The following is a 24,409-nucleotide window of genomic DNA, read 5'->3' on the forward strand; positions in this document are numbered from 1 at the left end:
GACTTGGAGGAGGGGTGGGGTCTGAGCTGGGATGTGGACTCCTGGGCATATTTTGGGGACAGTTGGTCCAAGTCAGGAAAGTTGGAGCAGGCAAGGCTATTTCCCACTCCCTCTCTAGTAAGGGAAGGAATTAAAGGATCCTGGTGGTGATCGGGCTGGGGACGGGGGTTGGTTTATTTCTCTGAAACCTTTGAATCAGCCTTTTATCAAAAACTTGTGGGTGTTTTCCTTTAATTTGGAAGTGGTAATGAAAAAGTGGGGTGCATGAGGTATTCAGAAGCGAGCGGTCTATGCTGTCCTTTGACTAGGGAAGGGTTGTCTAGTGACATCTTGTCAGGGGTGTTTCCAGAGGGTGGTCATCCCAGGAACCCTGCTCCCAGAGGGTGCCGTGTGGCTGCTTGGTGTGCCGTACATTCCCCAAAAGAGTGAATGATGCATGAACGAATGAAAGGCAAGAGTGAATGATGCATGAACAAATGAATGAAAGGCAAGAGTGAATGATGCATGAACAAATGAATGAAAGGCAAGAGTGAATGATGCATGAACAAATGAATGAAAGGCAAGAGTGAATGATGCATGAACAAATGAATGAAAGGCAAGAGTGAATGATGCATGAACACATGAATGAAAGGCAAGAGTGAATGATGCATGAACAAATGAATGAAAGGCAAGAGTGAATGATCCATGAGCAAATGAATGAAAGGCAAGCGTGAATGATCCATGAACAAATGAATGAAAGGCAAGAGTGAATGATGTATGAACAAATGAATGAAAGGCAAGAGTGAGTGATGCATGAACAAATGAATGAAAGGCAGGGCCGCTCTTCAGAGACATCCCCTCGGATTAGGCGTGCGGGCTTGCCTGGAAGTTGGGCAGTACAATGAGGTGTAACCCTAAAACTCTGAGCTATCTAGACTCCCAAGAGAGACACTGAATTGGATGGTTCGGGATTTCATCTTTGCCACAGCTTCACTTCTTGGTTACTTAGGAGAAAACCGTGTTAGGTTTTCAGCTTAACATTTCAGGGTACTCAGTGTCAGCCACGTCGTGTCCCTGCGTGGTCAGCCTGGACCTAGAAGCTCTTACTCGCCCAGTGTAACCGCCAGGGACCTTTTTACTCAACACTTCCTTCTGATTTGCTCTTTTGACATATCCTTTACTGTTTTTTAAACTTCATTTGCTTTGTGAAATTGTGGAAGAGGCTTGTGAAGCTGAGTGTTCAGGTTTGTTTGGCTCTGTACTGTCTGGTTCCCAGGCTTTTAGAGGTGTGTTTTAGAGGTGTTTTTAGGCCGTGCTGAGTGGTTGTATTATTTATATATTGCTGTGTGGCAGATTACCCCAGAACCCCTGCCTTAAACCAACAGTCCGATGATAACTTACTGTTTCTGTGGGTTGGGAGACCAGGTGGGCTCTGGCTCAGGGACCTCCCATCTGGGGTTGTGTCTCCTCTGAAGGCTGGACTGGGGAGGGTCCGCAGCCAGGCTGTGTCACGTGACTGTGGGCTGGAGACCTCAGTTCCTTTCTCTATAGGGCAGCTCCGAGGGAGCCCATGCCTAGCCAGAGAGGGACAGGAAGGACGTCCCAGTGTTTGTGGAGTGACATTCTACCACTTTTGCCAAGAGTCATTCGGCCCCTACACACTTGAGGGGAGGGGACTCCAAAACGGTGAGCATACGATGGGCAGGTGGGGTCACTGGAACACTTAAAGCCTGCCCAGCACAGCGGTGCTGTGAGCCTGGCACCTCTCAGGGCACTGGAGAGACATCCCGTAAGTAAATCAGCGATTGCGTGTGGAGTGACGTGTTAAGATGAGGATGTGACTGTTCAGCTGTCTCTTTAATTGGTGTGGGTTTCTCCGATGTCACCGTCATGATTGAGATATTTGTGATACGTAAAAGAAGATAAATTACAGATAGAAAAGATTCTTAGGAATTAACTTGCAATTTGGCATACCAGTAGCAAGCCAAAAGACCCCCCCACAAATTAAATTACAAGGTGTGTGTCACTGATGTCAAATCCTTCCCAACAGCTTCAAGTGCAAGGATTTTTGCTGTTCCCAGAGTCCCCTCATTTTCTTCCTGCCAGTGATTTTGCTCCAGAAATTATCAACCGACTTCTGTTAAGTTTTCCTAAACCATTTTAAATATATGGGGGAAATGTTTTTACCAGTTACAGTAGACCTTGCGCTTGCAGTTATTTGTGACTTCATAAAAATGCCGTAGGAGACGTGAGACCTTGACCACACTGGACATTTGACCGGTGTGAGGACTTAGCTCCAGGGTCCAGGCACTACTGTGAGCCAGAGCCTCTGCTCCTAGCCCACACCCTCCACTGCACAGGGAGCCGGACCCCATGCCTCCTTCCGGTTCTGGGCTGGAGCTAGGGCCGGGAAGGGGGCCTGTTCTGGACTCTGGAGACCTCAGCCGCCCCTCCCACCATGCCGCACTCTCTAGACTACAGCGGCTCTGTGGCAAAATCGAGGAGCTGCAGGGTGCGGCAGGGGCCCTTTGCCGTGGGCTAGAATTCTTTACTTGGGTTTTTTTATTTGGATTATAAAGTGAGTCTTGTTTTGGTGTATGCTGTTACTCTTTATTAAATGGCAGGATTTATTTTGTTTGCAGCCTTATTTTTGGTTAATGGTTAGAATTGAAGTTGAAAATGTAATTTTTCTTTTTTTTTTCTTTTTTTTTTTTTTGAGACGGAGTCTCGCTCTGTCGCCCAGGCCGGACTGCGGACTGCAGTGGCGCAATCTCGGCTCACTGCAAGCTCCGCTTCCCGGGTTCACGCCATTCTCCTGCCTCAGCCTCCCGAGTAGCTGGGACTACAGGCGCCCGCCACCGCGCCCGGCTAATTTTTTGTATTTTTAGTAGAGACGGGGTTTCACCTTGTTAGCCAGGATGGTCTCGATCTCCTGACCTCATGATCCACCCGCCTCGGCCTCCCAAAGTGCTGGGATTACAGGCGTGAGCCACCGCACCCGGCCGAAAATGTAATTTTTCTACAGAATTAGGCAGGCGTGTGTAATTTTTCAACAAAAATTAGCCAGGCATGGTGGTGGGCACCTGTAATCCCAGCTACTTGGGAGGCTGAGGCAGGAGAATTGCTTGAACCCGGGAAGCGGAGTTTGCAGTGATCTGAGATTGCACTCCAGACTGGGCGAAGAGTGAGACTCTGTCTGAAAAAAAAATAAAAAGTAAAAAAAAAAAGAAAAGAAAATGTAATTTTTCTTTTACCATTGAAATATAGTGAGGTTTAGGGACAGTTTCCTATTGTTTATCTATTTTTTATTATGATACTTGCTGTTAATATAGCAAAAATATGGTACAATTCATTGTGCTTCAAAAATTGAAATTATTTTTAATTTCATACATTGATAGTTTATCACTGAATTTTAAAAATGTGAGGCCTTAAGAAAAACAAAACAAAACTATCTTTCCAGATCTGCCACGTTTCTCCCGACAGAACTGAATTATGCAAATGCCAAAATGACAAAGAACAATAGTGAATGTTGCCTAGGTGCATTTTTGTAGAATTATCCACTGAGTTAAGCAAAACTCCCATTGACAGGAACTCACACTCTAGAAAATATAGTCCTTCAACCTATTGTTATATTGACTTGCTTTTTTTTAAGATAAACTCTAATATTCGTGTTTGTTTGTTTGTTTTTGTTTTTTGTTTGTTTGTTTGTTTTGAGATGGAGTTTTGCTCTTGTAGCCCAGGCTGGAGTGCAGTGGCGCGATCTCGGCTCACTGCAACCTCCGCCTCCTGGTTCAAGTGATTCTCCTGCCTCAGCTCCCTAAGTAGCTGGGATTACAGGCGCCTGCCACCATGCCCGGCTAAGTTTTTGTATTTTTAGTAGAGATGGGGTTTTGCCATGTTGGCCAGGCTGGTCTCAAACTCCTGACCTCATGACCCGCCCGCCTTGGCCTCCCAAAGTGCTGGGATTACAGGCGTGAGCCACCGCGCCCGGCCAATAAACTCTAATATTTAGGTGCATTTAGAGAGTGGATTTGTTGGCTTGGTTTCTTTTTTCTTTTTTTCAAATTCATTGATATTTGCTGGGCTTTGCTACATTAACAGCAAATTCCAGATGTTTAATGAGAAATAGATGCAAAGAGGGGAAATCTGTCTGCAGACTTCCTTGAAACTCCCTCTAATCAGTGGGTCCCGTTGGCCTTGTGGGTCTTATGGGGGCTGTGAGCCTCGTGGGAGCTGTGGGCCTCATGGGGGCTGTATGGCCTTGTTGGGGGCCTGTGGGGCCTGTGGGCCCTGTGGGGGGCTGTGTACCTCCTGGGGGCTGTGGCCAAGTGGGTCCTATGTTCTTCGTGGGTCCTGTGTGGTCTGGTGGGGGCTGTGGCCTCGTGGGAGCTGTGGCTTTGTGAGTCCTGTGTGGCGTCATGGGGGCTGTGGCCTTGTGGGTCCTGTGTGGCCTGGTGGGGGCTGTGGCCTTGTGGGTCCTGTGTGGCCTGGTGGGGGCTGTGGCTTCATGGGTCCTGTGTGGTCTGGTGGGGGCTGTGGCCTCATGGGGGCTGTAGCCTTGTGGGTCCTGTGTGGCCTGGTGGGGGCTGTGGCTTTGTGGGTCCTGTGTGTCTCATGGGAGCCGTGGCCTTGTGGGTCCTGTGTGGCCTTGTGGGGGCTGTGGCCTCGTGGGGGCTGTGGCCTCATGGGTCTTGTGTGCCTTGTGGGGGCTATGGCCTCATGGGTCCTGTGTGGCCTGGTGGGGGCTGTGGCCTTGTGGGTCCTGTGTGGCCTCATGGGTCCTGTGTGGCCTCGTCAGGGCTGTGGCCTCATGGATCCTGTGTGGCCTCGTGGGGGGCTATGACTTTGTGCCTGTGTCTCCTGTCTGGGTCTTGTGAGCTGTCACATTTCCAGGTTCTTGATCAGGGCGTGGCCCGTATTAGATGCTCAATAAACAGTAACCGGAAGCTGATCCTCATGGATGCTGTGTGGAGCTGTTCTGAGGCGGCATGAGTATGAACTTGTTGGATTCCTGATGCCGCCCAGGAATCAGACCGTAAAAGCTGTGCTTATTTCGCAGTGTGAGCCTGGCACAGCAGAGGGCGCACAGGGCAGGCATCATTGGAATGTGGGGGCCACGAGGGCTCACCTTAAAATTTTTTAAATGTTAAGTGATTTTAATTTACTTTTTTACCCAAGTTTTTGTTAAGAAAAAAAATCGCAATACAGAAAAATGGAGAAAATTATACAGTGAGCACTTGCTGTGGTCCGAACGTCTGTGTCCCCCAGAATCCATGGGGGACCCTAACCCCCAAGGTGTCAGTGTCAGGCGTGGGGCCCTCGGAAGGCTCTGCCCTGATGACAGGACCAGCGCCCTTTCTGTCATTTGAGGACACGAGAGAAGGCACTGCCTGTGAGGACTCTGACCCCACCAGCCCCCAAATCTGCGAGCGCCTTGATTCTGGACTCCCAGCCTGCAGAACTGAGAGGTGCGTTCTGTGGTTTGTCAGCTGCTCGGCCTAAGGTGCTTCGGTCGCAGCCGCCTGAACAGACCAGGACGGCACCCTCTACTGCCCAGACCCACTCGTGGCCGTTCGGCCGCATTTGCTTCCTCTCCTTCTCTCAGTACATCCTGGACTCACCTGTGAGCGGCTCCGGACAGGAGCCTTGCTGGGAAGGTGAGTCCCACCTGAGAGCAAGAACTAGGGGAGGCCCCCACACCGCTACAACCCCACTGTGACCCTAGGACGGTGGCACCTACTTCACGGCGTTACCTGATTTTCAGGCCGCCTTACCTCTTCCCAGCTGTCTTGAGAATGTCTCCATGTTTTCCTGAACCAGAGTCAGCCAGGGCCTGTCCTTGCCCTGGAGGTCCTGGCCCTTCTGACCATGCCAGGTGAGACCCCCTGGCGTTGGAGGTCTTGTCTCCCTGTCCGTGGACCGGGCTCGCATCCTTCCCACCCCACTGCCTTCTGCCAGGCCAGCGGAGACATAGGCCCTGACGTCCTCTTCAGTCTCAGCTGGAGAAAGCTGCCCTGGAGGGACTCTTCTCACTAGGTCACGCAAACCTGGGCACTCCCGATTTTGAGGTAGCTTATTTGGGACCTTAATTACAGCTTCAAAAGTCCCTTTACAGCAGTCCATGGGTCAGTATGTCAGTAACAGAACTGGGCGTCGGTTCTGGGACCCTGTAGACACTGAGGGTGAGAACTGGGTGTCGGTGCTGGGACGCTGTAGACGCTGTGAGTGTGAGAACTGGGTGTCGGTGCTGGGACCCTGTAGACACTGAGTGTGAGAACTGGGCGTCGGTGCTGGGACCCTGTAGACACTGAGTGTGAGAACTGGGCGTCGGTGCTGGGACCCTGTAGACTCTGTGAGTGTGAGAACTGGGTGTCGGTGCTGGGACCCTGTAGACACTGAGTGTGAGAACTGGGCGTCGGTGCTGGGACCCTGTAGACACTGCGAGTGTGAGAACTGGGTGTTGGTGCTGGGACCCTGTAGACACTGAGTGTGAGAACTGGGTGTCGGTGCTGGGACCCTGTAGACACTCAATGTGAGAACTGGGAGTCGGTGCTGGGACCCTGTAGACACTGAGTGTGAGAACTGGGCGTCGGTGCTGGGACCTTGTAGACACTGTGAGTGTGAGAACCGGGCATCGGTGCTGGGACCCTGTAGACACTGAGTGTGAGCACTGGGCGTCGGTGCTGGGACCCTGTAGACACTGTGAGTGTGAGAACTGGGCGTCTGTGCTGGGACCCTATAGACACTGAGTGGGAGAACTGGGCGTCGGTGCTGGGACCCTGTAGACACTGAGTGTGAGAACTGGGTGTCGGTGCTGGGACCCTGTGGACACTGTGAGTGTGAGAACTGGGTGTCGGTGCTGGGACCCTGTAGACACTTAGTGTGAGAACTGGGCGTGGGTGCTGGGACCCTCTAGACACTGTGAGTGTGAGAACTGGGCGTCGGTGCTGGGACCCTGTAGACACTGAGTGTGAGAACTGGGTGTCGGTGCTGGGACCCTGTGGACACTGTGAGTGTGAGAACTGGGTGTCGGTGCTGGGACCCTGTAGACACTTAGTGTGAGAACTGGGCGTGGGTGCTGGGACCCTCTAGACACTGTGAGTGTGAGAACTGGGTGTCGGTGCTGGGACCCTGTGGACACTGAGGGTGAGAACTGGGCGTCGGTGCTGGGACCCTGTAGACACTGAGGGTGAGAACTGGGCGTCGGTGCTGGGACCCTGAAGACACTGAGTGTGAGAACTGGGCGTCGGTGCTGGGACCCTGTAGACACTGAGTGTGAGAACTGGGCGTCGGTGCTGGAACCCTGTAGACACTGTGAGTGTGAGAACCGGGCATCGGTGCTGGGACCCTGTAGACACTGAGGGTGAGAACTGGGTGTCAGTGCTGGGACCCTGTAGACACTGAGTGTGAGAACTGGGCGTCGGTGCTGGAACCCTGTAGACACTTAGTGTGAGAACTGGGCGTGGGTGCTGGGACCCTCTAGACACTGTGAGTGTGAGAACTGGGCGTCGGTGCTGGGACCCTGTAGACACTGAGTGTGAGAACTGGGCGTCGGTGCTGGGACCCTGTGGACACTGCGAGTGTGAGAACTGGGCGTCGGTGCTGGGACCCTGTGGACACTGTGAGTGTGAGAACTGGGCGTCGGTGCTGGGACCCTGTAGACACTGAGTGTGAGAACTGGGCGTCGGTGCTGGGACCCTGTGGACACTGCGAGTGTGAGAACTGGGTGTCGGTGCTGGGACCCTGTGGACACTGCGAGTGTGAGAACTGGGTGTCGGTGCTGGGACCCTGTGGACACTGCGAGTGTGAGAACTGGGCGTCGGTGCTGGGACCCTGTAGACACTGAGTGTGAGAACTGGGTGTCGGTGCTGGGACCCTGTAGACACTGAGTGTGAGAACTGGGTGTCGGTGCTGGGACCCTGTAGACACTGTGTGAGAACTGGGCGTCGGTGCTGGGACCCTGAAGACACTGAGTGTGAGAACTGGGCGTCGGTGCTGGGACCCTGTAGATACTGTGAGTGTGAGAACTGGGCGTCGGTGCTGGGACCCTGTAGATACTGTGAGTGTGAGAACTGGGCGTCGGTGCTGGGACCCTCTAGACACTGTGAGTGTGAGAACTGGGCGTCGGTGCTGGGCCCCTGTGGACACTGCGAGTGTGAGAACTGGGCGTGGGTGCTGGGACCCTGTAGACACTGTGAGTGTGAGAACTGGGCGTCGGTGCTGGGACCCTGTAGACACTGAGGGTGAGAACTGGGCGTCTGTGCTGGGACCCTGTAGACACTGAGGGTGAGAACTGGGCGTCGGTGCTGGGACCCTGTAGACACTGAGTGTGAGAACTGAGCGTCGGTGCTGGGACCCTGTAGACACTGAATGTGAGAACTGAGCGTCGGTGCTGGGACCCTGTAGACACTGAATGTGAGAACTGGGCGTCGGTGCTGGGACCCTGTAGACACTGAGTGTGAGAACTGAGCGTCGGTGCTGGGACCCTGTAGACACTGAATGTGAGAACTGAGCGTCGGTGCTGGGACCCTGTAGACACTGAATGTGAGAACTGGGCGTCGGTGCTGGGACCCTGTAGACACTGAGTGTGAGAACTGGGTGTCAGTGCTGGGACCCTGTGGACACTGTGAGTGTGTGCTTACTTTTTTTTTCAGTCTTGCTTTGTCACTCAGACTGGAGTGCAGTGGCAGGGTCTCGGCTCACTGTAACCTCCACTTCCTGAGTTCAAGGGATTCTCCCGTCTCAGCCTCCTGAGTAGCTGGGACTGCAGGTGCTTCCCACCACACCCAGCTAATTTTTGTATTTATATTAGCGACGGGGTTTCACTGTATTGGCCAAGCTGCTCTCAAGCCCCTGACCTCGTGATCTGCCCACCTTGGCCTTGCAAAGTGCTGGGATTACAAGTGTGAGCCACCGCGCCCGGCTGTGTGTGCTTACTTTCAAACAAGGTAGTCTCTGCAGCATACTGAGATGACATTGAGAAGAGGCTTGATAAGGTGCAGGAGGGCGTGTTCTGGGCACAGGGCGCCCTGAGCGAGAGGGCCGAGAATGTCCTGCGGTGATTGAGGAGTCCACGCGGCAGGGGCAGAGGGAGAGGCAAAGGCAGAGGGAGGTGTGGGCTGTTGGCAGGGCCAGGGCCTGACCTCGATGGCCCTGAGGAGCCTCTGCGTCCACTCAGGCTTGTGTGTTCGGGAATCCCGTGGGTGCTGCGTTGAGGTCAGTGGGGCCTGGTGTGGCAGAGGCGAGGGTGCTGTGTGGGTGCCGCGTGTCCTTCAAGGCACAGCAGATTGGTTTCTAGGGGGGCCCAGTGTGAGGGAGGCGCAGGTGGCTCAGAGGTGTCTGGGGCTCCCTGGGGTGCAAGGCTGTCAGAGGAGGTCAGGGCAGGGAAGTCCTGATGGACGTGCCGGCCGCCCACTGACGTGCAGCCGTCAGACGTCTGGATGGGAGTTCAAAGCAGGGTTGGGCCAGAGGTGCCTGGAGAGGAAACGTGGAGTCGGGGGGTCTGTGGGGTAGCCCCGGGGGCGGCGCTGGGGGCCGGACTGCTGAAGCGCCCCCGAGCTCCCTGGGTATAACCTGCCTGGGCCTCCTGGACAGCTGCAGGCCTGCGGGGCCTGGGTTGAGGGGGATGTCACTGAGCTACACTCTGAGGCTGGTAGTGACTCTCATCTGGGGTCCCACCTTAGTGAATGTACCTTAGGTCTTTGTATGAACGCAAATATTTGTATAAACACTTAATTTAAAAAATGAGAGCTGATGTGCGCCTGTAATCCCAGCTACTGAGAAATGTCAGCCCAGCAGTGAGGCCTGTCCAGTCTCAGCCCTGTCCGTGTGAGTGCTGTGCTCTGTGTGTGGCCCCCACAGTGCCACGGTCCACGGAGGTGGGGTCGGCTGGCTCTGGCTGGGAGTTGGGGGCCCAGTTGCTCTAATGCAGGCAACACCCTGAGTGGGGCTGGGAGTCAAGGACCAGGCTGGGGGCTCGATGTCACAGGTGTGGGCAGGAGCCCATGGCCCTCTGAGAGCTTTGTGGCCACGGTAGGGGCTGGGCCATGGGGGAGGCAACTTTACTGCCTGGGGTCAGTTCCTGCCTGGCCAGAGATGGAGCAGGGATGCTTACTGTCTTTCGAGTCATGGACCCTTTTGAGAATTAAATTCAAAGCGCTGTCATGTTGTAGCATTGTTTTTCATTTTCTTTTTTTTCTTTTTTCTTTTTTTAATTTTTTGAGTTAGAGTCTTGTGCTGTCACCCAGACTGGAGTGTAATGGCACTATCTTGGCTCATTGCAACCTCTGCTATACAGGTTCAAGCATTTCTCCTGCCTCAGGCTCCTGAGTAGCTGGGACTACAGGCACGTGCCACCATGCCCGGCTATTTTTTGTATTTTTAGTAGAGACGGTGTTTCACCATGTTGGTCAGGCTGGTGTCGAACTCCTGACCTTGTGATCTGCCTGCCTGGGCCTCCCAGAGTGCTGGGATTACAGGTGTGAGCCACCTCACCCGGCTGTTTTTCATTTTCTTAAAAAAACTTTTAGGGTGACATAGCTGTGCAGAGAACCATGTAAAGTTCCGTTTTCCTCCTAACCTGGTCGTCTCCAGCGGGAAGGAACAGAGAGTGCTTGGTGTGGTTCTGTGTGTCCGCACGAGGTTGATGAGAACCCTCGGTGCCTGGACTGTCTTCTCACCAGGCGCAGCTCAGGAACATGGTGGTGCCGGAGAGTGGTTTGTGTCTGTTCCTCCCTGGCTGCTGTGAGCCGCCCCCCCAGGTCCTGTGTCCTCCGCGCGGGTTGGCGAGGGAGCTGTGTGTGTCTGTGGTGCAGCTGCAATGCGGGGTCCCGTCAGGGAACAGGAGCGAGGCGTTTACGCCATAAGGAGGTGGAGAAGGGATGGTGTGTGAGTTTGGCAGGTGCTGAGGGCTACAGTGGAGCTGGAGGGGCAGGACGGTGCAGGGCGGTGCAGGCAGGGTGTTTGGGGTCAGGCCAGCTGTGGAAAGGCCACAGGTGAACCAGGTGCGGAGACAAAGAGCTGGAGGCATCCGGTGGTCTGGCTGGGCCTCATCCGTGTCCTGCCGCTGCTGCAGTGATGCCAGGGGCATGGAAGGGACCCTAGCCCAGCTCCTCCCTTGGCAGTCGGAGCGTCGGGGCCGCATTATAGAGGGAGGGACTCTCCGGACGATGGGAACGAGAGTCCATTGGGATCGTAGCTGTGGTGCGGTTCACAGCGTTGTGAACAGCTAATGTTGGGCTGGGGGCATCTGTGGGGCCAGTTGCAGCAGTTTGGTCATTTTTGTGTGAAAATAAATGAAAACAGGTTTTGCAGAGCCCGTTGGTGAAGGCAGGGGTGCCTCTGGCATCGACTGGATGGCCTTTCCCTCCTGAGTGACAGCCCTGGACGTGCTGTCGCCTCATGAGGACGCCGATGTGGCCCTGCTGCCGGAGTATGCCAAGCACGAGGGGCCAGGTGGCACACAGCACCTGTGTGCCGCTGGGGAGGGTGACCGCGGGAGGAGCGCCCGTGCATCGCTGCAGAGGGTGACTGCGGGAGGAGTGCCCGCCCATGCATCGCTGGGGAGGGTGACTGCGGGAGGAGCGCCTGTGCATCGCTGTGGAGGGTGACTGTGCAGGAGGACAGAGTGCCACAAGGGAGAGCAGCAGAGTGGTTTCAGCTCCGGGAGGTGGGGCTGCCCGTCCAGAGAGGTGCAGGGTCTCTTGTCAGGTGGACAGGGGCTGGCCCACCCGTGAGTGGGTAGGGCCTCCTGCCAGGGAGCCTTGTGCATGGCTGGGAGGACGGCAAGGCTGATGTGGACGCAGCCCCGACGTGAACAGGACCCCACGTGGACGGGCAGTGACGTGCGTGTGGACCCGGGGTGGACGGGCGGTGACGTGCGTGTGGACCCGGGGTGGACGGGCGGTGACGTGCGTGTGGACCCGGGGTGGACGGGCGGTGACGTGCGTGTGGACCCGGCGTGGACGGGCGGTGACGTGCGTGTGGACCCGGCGTGGACGCAGCCCCGACGTGAATGGATGTGGTTCCGACGTGACTGCGCTGGCATGGGAAGCAGAGGGTGAGGCTCGGCTCTGCTGTCAGGAGGACATGTCAGACTTCTGTCTCTAAGATACTGCTCAGACTTGTGTGGAGGGTGAATTAGTGCGAGGGCGGCTTGGAGAAGCCTGTCCTGGGCGGGTTTCACCACTTGGACGGGAGCTCTGGCATGGTCCAGGGAGTGGCCGAGGACAGCAAGGAGGAGATGACCCCATGGGCAAGCAGGAGCTCAGATGGGAGGCATGGAGCAGACGGGACTCCACGTGGCACCACCCCTCCCACCTGGGCTGGGCACCCATGAGGCTGAGGACCCTGGGGAGGGAACGCTGCTTGTCGGGCGGTGGTGACGATTTCATGGATGTTTGTGAAACCAACCTCACTGCCCCATTACAACAGTGCGGGCCCTGATTCTCATGGTTCCCCAGTGAGGCTGTTCCACGGTGGCACAGGACACGCCTGCAGCTTTGTGCCTGTGAATCTCAGGAGCTGTTTTCTGGAAAGTTCCATAACTCAGCAAAACTGACTCACAAACAACAGAAACTTCAAGGCTGTCCTAAGATATGGGTGGCAGAAGAAAATGTGCCCCAGGCATGGGCTTGTGATGCCGGCTCTTCCTCCTGGCAGAGCTCCCCAGAGGAAGGCTGGGCTGGGCAGTCAGCCAGACGGGAAAGGGGGCTGAGGCGTCCAGGCTGCAGAGGGTGCCGGGGTGGAGAGCGGAAGAGAGAGGGAGTCGGTGCCTTAGGAGGCTGCGGGCGAGGCGAGGGCAGAGTGCACTCGCTGGGGGTCACCCTGCCCCCCAGGACTCCTTTCACAGGACAGAGAAGCTCCTGGTGAGCGGGGCTGCTGAACGCAGGCCCCAGGGCCTGTAGGACCCTTAGGGAGACGGGTGGCTCTGCGTGTGGGTGTGGAGAGAGGCCTGTGGGAGACGGATGGATGGGTGTCTCTGTGTATGGGCATGGGGAGGGGCCTGTGGGAGGTGGATGGGTTGGGTGGCTCTGTGTATGGGCATGGGGAGGGGCCTGTGGGAGGTGGGTGGATGGGTGTCTCTGCATGTGGGTGTGGAAAGAGGCCTGTGGGAGACTGGTGGATGGGTGGCTCTGCGTGTGGGCGTGGAGAGAGGCCTGTGGGAGGTGGGTGGACATGTGTCGCTGCATGTGGGTGTGGGGAGAGGCCTGTGGGAGGTGGATGGGTTGGGTGGCTCTGTGTGTGGGCGTGGAGAGGCCCGTGGCAGCTCCTTCGTTGCAGAAACCGCATCGGAGCACATCGCGTAGTGCAGGACACACGGGGCGTGGGACGGTGTCTGTGTGAGAGCAGCATCTGTGTGTATGCAGTGTTATCTAAGGACACACCCACAGACACGGACACGTCCTTACGCAGAGAACAGCCGCTGCCTCTTAGTGTTCAGGATGATACGTTTTTCCTTAATATCATCCTTCGCTTTGCACATCATACTGAATACGTGTGTATGTGACTTTTACTGCAAAACAAAACAAAAAGCAGAAGCTACTGTGTTATCCAGACGGCTGTGTGCTGCAGGCGCGACTCAGAACAGCAGCTCCTCCCAGCATCCCGCAGCTAAATGACAGGAGCTGGAGGCTGCCCCAGGCAGCGGCGTGGCTGGCGTGCGGAGTGTTTTGGGGGTGTCTGAGCTGGGTGGAGAGGAAGGCATATGTCACACTGAGGCATCAGAGACACATCCATTCACGTCGGGGCTGTGTCCGCGCCGGGTCCACACTCAGTCATCGCCCGTCCGCGCCGGGTCCACACTCAGTCATCGCCCGTCCGCGCCGGGTCCACACTCGCGTCATCGCCCGTCCGCGCCGGGTCCACACTCAGTCATCGCCGTCCGCGCCGGGTCCACACTCGCGTCATCACCTGTCTGCGCTGGGTCCACACTCGCGTCATCACCTGTCTGCGCTGGGTCCACACTCGCGTCATCGCCCACCCACGCCGGGTCCACACTCGCGACATCGCCATCCACGCCGGGTCCACACTCGCGTCATCGCCATCCACGCCGGGTCCACACTCGCGACATCGCCATCCACGCCGGGTCCACACTCGCGACATCGCCATCCACGCCGGGTCCACACTCGCGTCATCGCCATCCACGCCGGGTCCACACTCGCGTCATCGCCATCCACGCCGGGTCCACACTCGCGACATCGCCCGCCCGCGCCGGGTCCACACTCAGTCATCGCCCGTCCGTGCCGGGTCCACATTCGCGTCATCGCCATCCACGCCGGGTCCACACTCACGTCATCGCCATCCACGCCGGGTCCACACTCGCGTCATCGCCCACCCGCGCCGGGTCCACACTCGCGTCATCGCCGTCCGTGCCGGGTCCACACTCAGTCATCGCCGTCCGCGCCGGGTCCACACTCGGTCATCGCCATCCGCGCGGGGATGTGTCTGAAAAGTGTGGTGAGAGCTGTGTTCCCTGCGCATTTCTGAAGGCTCCTAGCCGCTGCAGTTGCCGGGAGCCATGGAGCCACGTGACCTTGAGGTCCACCGGGGAGAGGAGGGTGCATTTCGGAGGCTAGAAGTGGCACCTGGAGGGGCTGGCCCTGGGTGTGATCATTGAGAGGAGGGAGGTGGAAAAAGATCTGGAAGATGCCCTTGGGAAGCAGAAGAAGGTGGGTGACCAGAGTGGGGTGCCCAGAGGGTAGGGCAGGGCAGACCAGAGGAGGGGGTGGGCTTGGCACCCCCGGGAAGGAGGGATGGGGCTCTGTGAAAGTGAGAGCTGTGTGGACGTGGAGCTTGTGAGTCTGACCAGGAAAGACAGAGGGTTCCAGACGGTGCGGGGGCCCCTTCAGTCTGGTTGTGTGGGGCAGGGTCCTCACCCCCAGGTGAGGGGGCCTTGTAGGGCAGATTCCTGGAAGACCCTCAAGACGCAGGAGCGGAGGCTGCTGGCTGGATGGGGATGGAGCCGAGAGCTGAGCGGGCAGCCCAGGCCTGAAGGACAGCACAGGGGCCTCTGTGAGGCCAGGAGGGGCTGGAGTGCAACACCCCCTGTGACCCAGGTCTGGTGTGTGACGCGTCAGGCCCCACGGCACCGCAGGCTGGCTGGCTCCCCAGAAGGCCTGTGGTCTCCATGGCCGCAGCGCATTCCGGGGACAGGGCAGAGTGGAGTCAGCAGAGGGAGGAGGCGTGTGGGGCGTCCAGGGATCAAGGGGTCTCTGGGCCTTGCTCCCTTCCCCAGCAGCTGTGAGGATGGTGGGGGCTGCTGTCTGCCCAGGACTGCAAGCGTCAGGCACAGCAGCTGCTGTTAACAGTCAAGGAATGTTCGGGTCAGTTTGAGAACTTCAGGGCCCAATGGCAGAGCCCCGGCAGAAAGACTCAGGGCAGATGGTGGTTGTCAGCCGGGAGGGGGCACGGAGCCCTGGGGGTGGTCAGGCCCACGTGGCCTTGGGACGAGAGCGAAGAGGTGGGATCGGCTGCGGGAGACAGGGAAGTGGGTGACAAGGAGGCTCAGGGGCTACAGCAAAGGCCCCGGAGGCTTTTCCACACCCGAGTCCGTCCTCGGCCATGCCAGCCAGGTCAGGGGCTCAGTCCTGTGGGCCACCACAGCCGGCCGCACAGGCAGGGAAGGTGAAGCTCCACGGAGCACCCTGGTGGACAGCGGTGCTGTGGGGGCCATGGACCAGAAGGCGGAGCCCATGCTGTGGGCTGGGTGGGGTGGCAGCTGCCAGTTCAAAGTCTGTCTTTTGTTTATTTACTTCATAAAATACTCCAGGTGTTTTGTTAGAAATTATTCTTGGCCGGGCACGGTGGCTCACATCTGTAATCCCAGCACTTTGGGAGGCCTAGGTGGGCAGATCCTGAGGTCAGGAGTCGAGACCAGCCTGGCCAACGTGGTGAAACCCCCGTCTCTACTAAAAATACAAAAAATTAGCTGGGTACTCAGGAGGCTGAGGCAGGAGAATGGTGTGAACCCGGGAGGCGGAGCTTGCAGTGAGCCGAGATCACGCCACTGCACTCCAGCCTGGGCGACAGAGCGAGATTCCGTCTCACACACACACACAAAAAATTAGTTGGGTGTGGTGGTGCACGCCTGTAGTCCCAGCTACATGGGAGGCTGAGACAGAATTGCTTGAATCCAGGAGGCAGAAGTTGCAGTGAGCTGAGATCACACCACTGCACTCCAGCCTGGTGACAGAGCAAGACTTTTTCTCAAAAAAAAAAAAGCAAAGAAAAGAAATTACTGTCTTAGTGTTGATAAATCTGCCTTTATACATACCAATAGTTGTGCACACTGAGAGAAGTAGGCAGTTTTGGATCTGAAACTGGCCTGGTGACACCGCGGGTGCAGCAGGCGGGCAGATGCGGGCACAGGAGGGAGCTTCCCACACTGTTCAGGTCACCAGAGCCTGCGCTTCTGTGGTTGGTTTTGATGAGGACTCGTATTTCAGCTCCTGTCTCTCCTTGTCAGAGGCCGTGTGAGGTGCGTATTGCGGACCGCCGGCCGCGCTGTGAGGGGTGTACATGTGGAGCCGTGACAATCGTGGGAAGTTCTGTTTCCAGCTTTAAGCTTTCGTTTATATTTCTGCATATTAAGAAATGATAAATTAAGACCTAATGAGAAGTTGTGGACTAGACGTGGGGTGTGTAGGCTGCTGGGAGGAGGGGCAGCGGCCCTGAGGGGTTGTGGGGCCCATGGGACCATCTGACCCAGTGCATGGCGGAGCCGTGTCCACGTGAGGAGGGAGTAGGAACGGGCTCTGCGCTGTGGCTCCGTGGGCTGCCGAGGGCTGCTGTGGGCTCTGCGCTGTGGCTCCGTGGGCTGCCGAAGGCTGCTGTGGGCTCTGCGCTGTGGCTGTGTGGGCTGCCGAGGGCTGCTGTGGGCTCTGCGCTGTGGCTGTGTGGGCTGCCGAGGGCTGCTGTGGGCTCTGCGCTGTGGCTGTGTGGGCTGCCGAGGGCTGCTGTGGGCTCTGTGCTGTGGCTGTGTGGGCTGCAGAGGGCTGCTGTGGGTTCTGCTCTTATTTGCCCAGGGGAAACCCGAGTCGCTGCCCCTCCTGTCCAGCCTCAGCGCTCGTCCCCGGGTCCCCCAGCAGGTGACCACAGATGATGACGGAGCCTCCTGGAACCGCCTCAGTTTCCCCAGCTGGCCCCTCACTGGCCTCCCCATTTCAGGAGCCCCAGGGCCACTCTCCGCCAGGCTCTCTGTGTCTCCGATTAACCCTCAGGTCGTCCCAGCCTCTTCCGAGCCATGGTTAGGATCGGCCCCGTCCACCGTGTGTCCATGGAAGTGAAACAGGCCACCAGCAGTGGGCAGCCGCGGGCGGGATGGGCTGTGGGGCAGAGGCTGGCGGGCAGGAATGGTCTCGTGGGTGCGCACCTGGCCTGTGTGGCGCTGCGGCCGTGGCTTCTGCATGCCAGGGTCAGCAGCCATCTTGTCGGGTTTTTAATGTGCATTTCCCAGTTCACTGATACAGTTGAGCATTTAAAACATGCTTGTTTGAAATTTCTCTTTTGTGAAGCTCTCTGTTGGCTAGAGTGGGGCTGGCAAACCCTGTGAGGGAGCAGATGGTGAATATCGTGCGGCCCCAGGCCTCCCTCCAACGAGCAGCGCTGTGTGCTGGGAGCAGGCCCTGCGGGGGCCAGCAAACCCGCTCACACAGCCCACGGGGCACAGCCGGGCCACGATGGCCAGGCCCTGGTCTAGGTTGTGGCCCTGGAGGCACTGCCGAAATTTCCCTCAGGCCTTGGCTTTTTTTCTCCATGGTGCTTTTGAATAACTCAGGGTGCTTATCTTTGACTTTGTCATTTCCTTCATGGTCAGTTTTGTTTTCTGTCTCGTAAATCTTCTCCTCATCCACGATCATGACGATACCCTCCTTAGCAACCTCCAAAGGTTCACGGTCGCCTTTTCCATTGTCCTCACCCACCCGGCCCTGGTTATTTTTGGGGTGGGATGGTGCAATACAAGCTGACAGTTTGGCTTTTTTTTTTCTAATTTCACCACAGGAATGATGTTTATGGTGTATGTTTTTAATTCTAAGATACACACTAAAATTCACCAGTTTTATTGTGCAGTTTGGGGACTTTTCACCCCCTGTCCAGTTTCATGGACTTGCCGGCAGTGCTGGCCCAGAGCTCGGTCCCCGCAGGCCTCCCTCAGGTCCCTCTGTGGCCAGTCCCTGCCTTGCCTGGACTGTGTGTGCCTGTGTCCTCCCACCAGACTTGCCGTTGTTCTGGAATTGAGTGGCGTGTGGGAACGTGTGTGCGCTCCTGCGTCTGCCCCTCTCCCCTGTGGGATCGTGGGCACCTGCGTTGCTCACTCTCACTGCCGAGCCGCATCTGCGTGGGGAGGGGTTACGCTGTGTTTATCATCCGCCTTCTGATGGACTAACTAGGTGGTTGTTTCCAGTTTGGGGCTGTTAGGAAAAGGGCTGCTTTGAACATTGTTGTATAAGACTTTGAGAGGATGTGTGTGTTAGCGAGCGTCTTTTTTTTTTTTTTTTTTTTTTTTTGAGATGGAGTTTCAGTCTTATTCCCCAGGCTGGAGTGCAAGGCGCGATCTCGGCTCACTGCAACCTCCGCCTCCCGGGTTCAGGCGATTCTCCTGCCTCAGCCTCTCGAACAGCTGGGAGTACAGGCACCTGCCATTACACCTGGCTAATTTTTTGTATTTTTAGTAGAGACAGAGCTTCACCATGTTAGCCAGGATGGTCTCCATCTCCTGACCTCATGATCTGCCAGCCTCGGCCTCTCAAAGTGCTGGGATTACAAGCATGAGCCACTATGCTTGGCTGAGTTTTGTTTTTTTTAAATCATGAATGGACAATTATTTTGTCAAATGATTTTTATGCACCTGCTGGGAAGATCATGTGATTTTTCTCCTTGTATCTTTTGTCATAAATTGTATCTTTTTCCCATAGGCATTAAGCCCACGTTGTTTTCTAGGACTCTGAGTTTGTCAAGAATGATTATCTTTTTGTATATTGCTTAAAAAGGATGACTAACCGTTTTCTTTGGATTTTCACCTCTGTGTTTCCTGGTGAGGTTAACGTTGAGTTCTTTCCGTCTGCCATGGTCAGTGCCTGGTTTTGTCAGGCTCATAGTGTGAGTTGGAAAAAGGCTCCTTTTAGTTCTCTGAGAAGAGTATGAGACTGAATTATTTGTGCCCTGAGCGTCTGGTGAAACCACCTGCATCCCTCCGGGGCCTGATGCTGTCTTGGAAGGGACTTTCTGACCATTGACCTGGCTCCCTGTAGGTTCTGGAACTTCCTGGGTTTTCTCTGCTAGTCTCAATGCTGGTGAATTACTGTTCTAGGAACTTAGCAGTTTCACGTAAACTTTCCATTTTATTAGGGTCAAGTTCATCATATCTTGTCCGTGCTCGGACGTCACCTGCTTTAGGTGCACCCGGTTTAATAGTGCACGGCCAGCTCCCCCGAATCCATGGGTCCAGTCAACACAGATTGAAAATGTTTGGGAACCAAAACAATAACAAATAACAGTACAACAATAACAATAATGCACATCTTAAAAATACAGTAGAACAACCATTGACATAGTGTTTACAGCATGTTAAGTGTCGTAAGTAATCTGGGGATGGCGTAGAGTGCGTGGGGGGTGGCGTGCACAGCGTGTTAAGTGTCGTAAGTAATCTGGGGATGGCGTAGAGTGCGTGGGGGGTGGCGTGCACAGCGTGTTAAGTGTCGTAAGTAATCTGGGGATGGCGTAGAGCGCGTTGGGGGGCAGCGTGCATAGCTTCTGTGCAGACTCGACACCACTTCATGTCCGGGACTTGAGCACCTGTGGATTTTGGTATCAGCGGCGTCCTGGAACTAGTCCCCCACGGATACCAAGGGATGGCTGTGTGTCACCTTCTAACATAGTAAATAATTGACCTGTTTGTTAGTTATTGTCTGTCTTCCTTCATTAGAATGCTGGCTCCAAGGTCTGTGTCTGTGTTTTCACTGAAGTCTGAGAACTCCTGTCAGGAGCCGCCAGCTGTACCAGCCAACACAGGAGCCACTGGCCACAGTTTAACTAAAATTAAATACAATTAAAAATTCGTTCGGTTGGCCGGGTGTGGTGGCTCACGCCTGTATTCCCAGCACTCTGGGAGGCCGAGGTGGGTGAATCACTGGAGGCCAGGAGTTCGAGACCAGCCTGGGCAACATGGTGAAACCCCATCTCTACTAAAAATATAAAAGTTAACTGGGCGTGGTGGCGGACGTCTATAATCCCAGCTACTCGTGAGGCTGAGGCACAAGAATTGCTTGAATCTGGAAAGTGGAGGTTACAGTGAGCCGAGATTGCACCACTGCACTCCGGCCTGGGTGACAGAGCGAGACTCCATCTCAAAAAAAAAAAAAAAAAAAAAAAAAAAAAACTGGGCTGGGCACGGTGGCTCACACCTGTAATCTCAGCACTTTGGGAGGCTGAGGCGGGAGGATCACTTGACCCCAGTAGTTCACGGCCAGCCTGGATAACAGACTGAGACCCTGTCTCTACTAAAAATACAAAAATTAGCCAGGTGTGGTGGTGCATGCTTGTAATCCAAGCTACTCAGGAGGCTGAAGTGGGAGGATTGCTCAAGCCCAGGAGGTCAAGGCTGTAGTGAGCCAAGATCGTGCCACTGCACTGCAGCCTGGGTGGCAGAGCAAGATCCTGTCTCAAAAAAAAAAAAAGAAATAATAATAATTATAATGAGATCCTTCAGTCCCACAAGCCACAGTTCAGGTGCTCCACGCCATGTGTGGTCAGCAGCTGTGCTGTTGGGTAGTGGAGATGTGGAAGCCCCCAGTGTTGCAGAATATTCCGGAAGCCTGGCTTTGAGCCTGGCTTCATTCTCTTCATCTTGTTTCTCTTCTCCCTAACTCAAGTGCCTCAGACATGCCTGCTGATCTCCCCTTATATTTGCCTGGGAAGACTAACTCTACTCTTTCCCTTCTTCCTCCCTTTTTATGTAAAAGTTAACTGAGCTTCAAAGATTAGTTAATAAAAAGTGCAGTTATGGGAAACCGGAAGAGTAGAAATGATACAAACGGGGTAGAAAATGAAGAGCATGAAAGTATTTAATCTCTGTCACTAAGCCACAGACACTGTACGTCATCCCAGGCCCCCACTTTCCCCAGTCTGACTCCAGCCACCTGTTTCCCCAACTCACACAGGAACGTGTGGGAGGCCACCGAGGTTCCCGGGGAAGCACTCCCAGCATGGCAGCCACCCTGATGCCCCATCCCAGACGCAGGGTCCCTACGTGGTCCCCTGGTCCCGGGTGGGGACTGTGTCCCTCCCCTGCCCCTCCCTCCCTGTCTGAGGCCCCAGGTGCCCTCCCTGTCCTCATCCCCACTGAGCCCAACACCAGGCTCAGTGCCCACGCCGGGGCCCTTGGTGCACGTCTGGTAGGCGCAGGCAGGTCTGTGACTGGGAGAGAACATGGTGCCCTGTGCACAGCAGCAGAATTGCGGGCATCTCTTGGCTGCGTCGTGGAGCCAGCCGTCACTGCCTTGCCTCTGAGGTCTTGCATTTGCCCAGATCACCCCTGAAATTCACCCCTCCTCTGGGGGGCTCCACAGACTCACATCCTGCCTTCTTGGGCCCAAAACAGCATGATGGGGCCCCCAGCTGCCCCCCCACCCCCGTGGGCCACGTGCCCACTCCTGCTGTCTCCGATGCCTTGGGCCTGGGCTCAGAGACGCCCGACAGGCACCGAGACCAGCCCGTGTCTCCCGGGTAGAGCCTGTTCTTCACGGTCCCTGTGAAGAACTTTTGGTTATTTTAAGCAAGGAACAGAGCAGTGTAACCGAGCCAGGCTTGGCACCGCGGGTGGGGTGGGGGTCGTCCGCCTCCGGCCCACGGGTAACCCTGTTGTGCTTTTTCTCCGCAGGCGTCACAATGTAGCAGGGACCCCAGGCGTCGTGCTCAGGTAAGTGCGCGTAGGCCGACTGCCCTCTTCTTTCCGCACCTGTGAACTGCCGGACTCCGCCGGGACCACGCTTTGTGCATGTGGTCGGCGTTCCTTGCAGTGCCTCTGAAACGCAGGCTCTGAGGACAGGCTGGAGCCATGCGTGGGTCCTTAGCTTTTCTCCCGGTCAGTACTTCTGATTGACCCCATTCCGCCCTTTGCTCGGTAGGGCTTGGTTGCAAGTTCCAGTAGGAATGGCGGAGTTGTGGCAGTCACACATCCATGACGCGAAGTGAACTAACAGGTGCCGTTTCTGTGCTAGAAAATGGAAAAAGAGCCAGGGCCGGAAGGAGGGTGCAGAAGCGAGTCCGCGTGCGGAGCCAGGAGGCAGCGTCGCGTGGGAGTGCTGGCCTGAAGCCTCCATGCCCCGGCAGAGGGACGGACACGCGGACGTCTAGCGGAGGTGAGGCCCACGCCCCCCGACCCCGGGGGTCCTGCTGACTCCTTGCCCTGCCCTGTTGCTGGTTGTGGCGAGGGCCGGCGATCATTAGGAGCCAGCTGGTCAGGACACGATGCAGTGTTCACGGTTCACTGCCGAGTTTTCCTGGCCCCTCCTGTGAGAGTCCAAGGTCCAGCCAGCTGTGGGGGTCCCAGGCCTCGATGGCAGTGCGGGGTGCAGAGGGCTGGTCTCCTTCCGTCACTGGTTCACTTGGGTTCCCGGCGTGTCGCTGAGGAGCAGTGCTGCTTGGGGGCCGAGCCTGGGGCCTCAGCCCAGTGAGTTGTGAGGCGGTCGGCTAGCATCCTGCAGGGAGGTCCTCAGGGGCGCAGGGCAGGGCTATCTCTCCCCTCCCGGGTGCTCTGTCCCCTCGTGGGTGGGCGTGGCCCTCAGGGGTGTAGGGCGGGGCTCCCCCTCCCGTCGTGGGTGGGCGTGGTCCTCGGGCATAGGGCGGGGCTCCCCTCCCCTCGTGGGTGGGCGTGGTCCTCAGGGGCGTAGGGCGGGGCTCCCCCGCCCCTCGTGGGTGGGCGTGGTCCTCAGGGGCGTAGGGCGGGGCTCCCCCTCCCCTCGTGGGTGGGCGTGGTCCTCAGGGGCGTAGGGCGGGGCTCCCCTCCCCTCGTGGGTGGGCGTGGTCCTCAGGGGCGTAGGGCGGGGCTCCCCTCCCCTCGTGGGTGGGCGTGGTCCTCAGGGGCGTAGGGCGGGGCTCCCCTCCCCTCGTGGGTGGGCGTGGTCCTCAGGGGCGTAGGGCGGGGCTCCCCCTCCCCTCGTGGGTGGGCGTGGTCCTCAGGGGCGTAGGGCGGGGCTCCCCCTCCCCTCGTGGGTGGGCGTGGTCCTCAGGGGCGTAGGGCGGGGCTCCCCTCCCCTCGTGGGTGGGCGTGGTCCTCAGGGGCGTAGGGCGGGGCTCTCCTCCCCTCGTGGGTGGGCGTGGTCCTCAGGGGCGTAGGGCGGGGCTCCCCTCCCCTCGTGGGTGGGCGTGGTCCTCAGGGGCGTAGGGCGGGGCTCCCCTCCCCTCGTGAGTGGGCGTGGTCCTCAGGTTGGTAAGGCGGGGCTCCCCTCCCCTCGTGGGTGGGCGTGGTCCTTAGGGGCGTAGGGTGGGGCTCCCCCTCCCCTCCCGAGTGGGCGTGGTCGTCAGGGCGCGGGGTGGGGCTCCCCCTCACCTCCCTTCCCTCCCTACCCTCCCCTCCCCTTCCCTCCTCCCCTCCCTTCCCTTCCCCTCCCCTCCCTTCTCCTTCCCCTCCCTCTCCCTTCCTGGGCAGGCTCCCGTGTCCTCAGTATGCATCAGGTCTCCCGAACCTCACAGCCCCGCAGGGAGGAGGAGAAGGGGAGGATTTGACTTTGGAAGTCTCTGTGACCAGGTGAGGACCGCAAGCGTAAAGGTGGTGGCAGAGTGGTCGGGGACAGGCCTCACCCACAAACATGTGGCCCCTGGATGAGCCCAGCTCTCAGCTGCTTCGTGGGACTGCAGCTGGACGCCCAGGCCCGCGCCTGCAGCAGGCGATGTGGGGCTCAGCAGAGAGCTCCAGGCTGGGCCTCTTGGTGGCGGTGATGACGGAAGTGGTGTCACGCATGCAGCAGTTTGGGTCGCGGCTTTCCGTCCCCACTGAGGGAAACTCGTGCCTGCTGCTCCCCTGGTGAAAGGTGTGGGGAGCGAAGTCCCAGTAGTGGGGTGCACCTGGCCACCCTGAGTCCCCACCAGCCTCCGCACGCGGAGCGGCCCTGCTCTCTTGCCTCAAGCACAGAAGCAAATCACCAGGCTCTGCCTGCCGTCGTGCGGTGACATCGGGGGTCACCTCCCCGAAGGCGCAGGTCTGGTGGGCGAGCAGAGCGGCTGCGGCAGCTGTCAAGGCAGGGCCTCTGCCAGCCACTGTGGCCTGGCATTGTGCCCACCCTGTGAGGGTAGGGTGGGGCCCCTGCCGCGTGCTGCCTCCGCCCCTGCCCCGTGCTGCCTCCGCCCCTGCCCCGTGCTGCCTCAGGCTCTGGGAGACACAGCCTCAGGAGACACCGTGGAAGCCGCGCCGGCCCCACAAGTGAATGGGGAG

At 57.2% G+C, this 24,409-nt stretch overlaps 2 protein-coding genes and 1 long non-coding RNA gene across 11 annotated transcripts in view, besides 3 other annotated features; 2 read left to right on the forward strand and 1 right to left on the reverse strand.

Moving 5' to 3' along the window:
- PCGF3 (polycomb group ring finger 3) overlaps positions 1-24,409 on the forward strand; it is a 64,258-nt gene that overhangs the window by 2,942 nt on the left and 36,907 nt on the right. For 2 of the 9 annotated variants that reach the window (NM_001395251.1, NM_001395249.1), the window contains exons 1-3: positions 16,383-16,456; positions 21,857-21,895; positions 22,197-22,337. The gene's annotated coding sequence lies outside the window, so the exon portion shown is untranslated. Of the gene's footprint in view, positions 1-16,382; positions 16,457-21,856; positions 21,896-22,178; positions 22,338-23,626; positions 23,726-24,409 lie in introns of those variants that run through there. The other 7 variants (NM_001395250.1, NM_006315.7, NM_001395247.1 and 4 more) reach the window with 6 other exon arrangements.
- Positions 4,398-23,725, forward strand: LOC124900172 (uncharacterized). The gene is made up of 8 exons (XM_047416540.1): positions 4,398-4,469; positions 5,585-5,636; positions 7,641-7,784; positions 11,353-11,504; positions 13,602-15,302; positions 21,857-21,895; positions 22,197-22,337; positions 23,627-23,725. The coding sequence occupies exons 1-5, from the start codon at positions 4,398-4,400 to the stop codon at positions 14,553-14,555; spliced, it is 1,374 nt and encodes a 457-aa protein (XP_047272496.1). The 3' UTR covers positions 14,556-15,302; positions 21,857-21,895; positions 22,197-22,337; positions 23,627-23,725.
- PCGF3-AS2 (PCGF3 antisense RNA 2) lies at positions 13,472-15,261 on the reverse strand. The gene is made up of 2 exons (NR_198961.1): positions 14,856-15,261; positions 13,472-13,664 (listed from the first exon to the last, which is right to left on the reverse strand). It is a non-coding gene; the product is annotated as a PCGF3 antisense RNA 2 (long non-coding RNA).
- Positions 17,813-18,328: an enhancer, noted in NCBI's record as "H3K4me1 hESC enhancer chr4:720375-720890 (GRCh37/hg19 assembly coordinates)". NCBI's record gives its function as "activates a minimal SCP1, AML or CMV promoter by ChIP-STARR-seq in primed H9 embryonic stem cells {active_cell/tissue: H9 hESC(primed)}" and the evidence as "EXISTENCE:reporter gene assay evidence [ECO:0000049][PMID:30033119]".
- Positions 18,329-18,843: an enhancer, noted in NCBI's record as "H3K4me1 hESC enhancer chr4:720891-721405 (GRCh37/hg19 assembly coordinates)". NCBI's record gives its function as "activates a minimal SCP1, AML or CMV promoter by ChIP-STARR-seq in primed H9 embryonic stem cells {active_cell/tissue: H9 hESC(primed)}" and the evidence as "EXISTENCE:reporter gene assay evidence [ECO:0000049][PMID:30033119]".
- Positions 22,672-23,172: an enhancer, noted in NCBI's record as "H3K4me1 hESC enhancer chr4:725234-725734 (GRCh37/hg19 assembly coordinates)". NCBI's record gives its function as "activates a minimal SCP1, AML or CMV promoter by ChIP-STARR-seq in primed H9 embryonic stem cells {active_cell/tissue: H9 hESC(primed)}" and the evidence as "EXISTENCE:reporter gene assay evidence [ECO:0000049][PMID:30033119]".

Source organism: Homo sapiens, chromosome 4 (genome assembly GCF_000001405.40).
Source record: "Homo sapiens chromosome 4, GRCh38.p14 Primary Assembly".
NCBI classification, from domain to species: domain Eukaryota; kingdom Metazoa; phylum Chordata; class Mammalia; order Primates; family Hominidae; genus Homo; species Homo sapiens.

Coding starts and splice junctions, on each gene's coding strand:
- LOC124900172 (XM_047416540.1), top strand. CDS start 4,398: ATGGGGGCTGTGGCCTTGTGGGTCCTGTGTGGCCTGGTGGGGGCTGTG. Junction 4,470..5,584: donor TGTGGGTCCTGTGTGGCCTG/GTGGGGGCTGTG, acceptor TCCTTCTCTCAG/TACATCCTGGACTCACCTGT. Junction 5,637..7,640: donor ACAGGAGCCTTGCTGGGAAG/GTGAGTCCCACC, acceptor GGGACCCTGTAG/ACACTGAGTGTGAGAACTGG.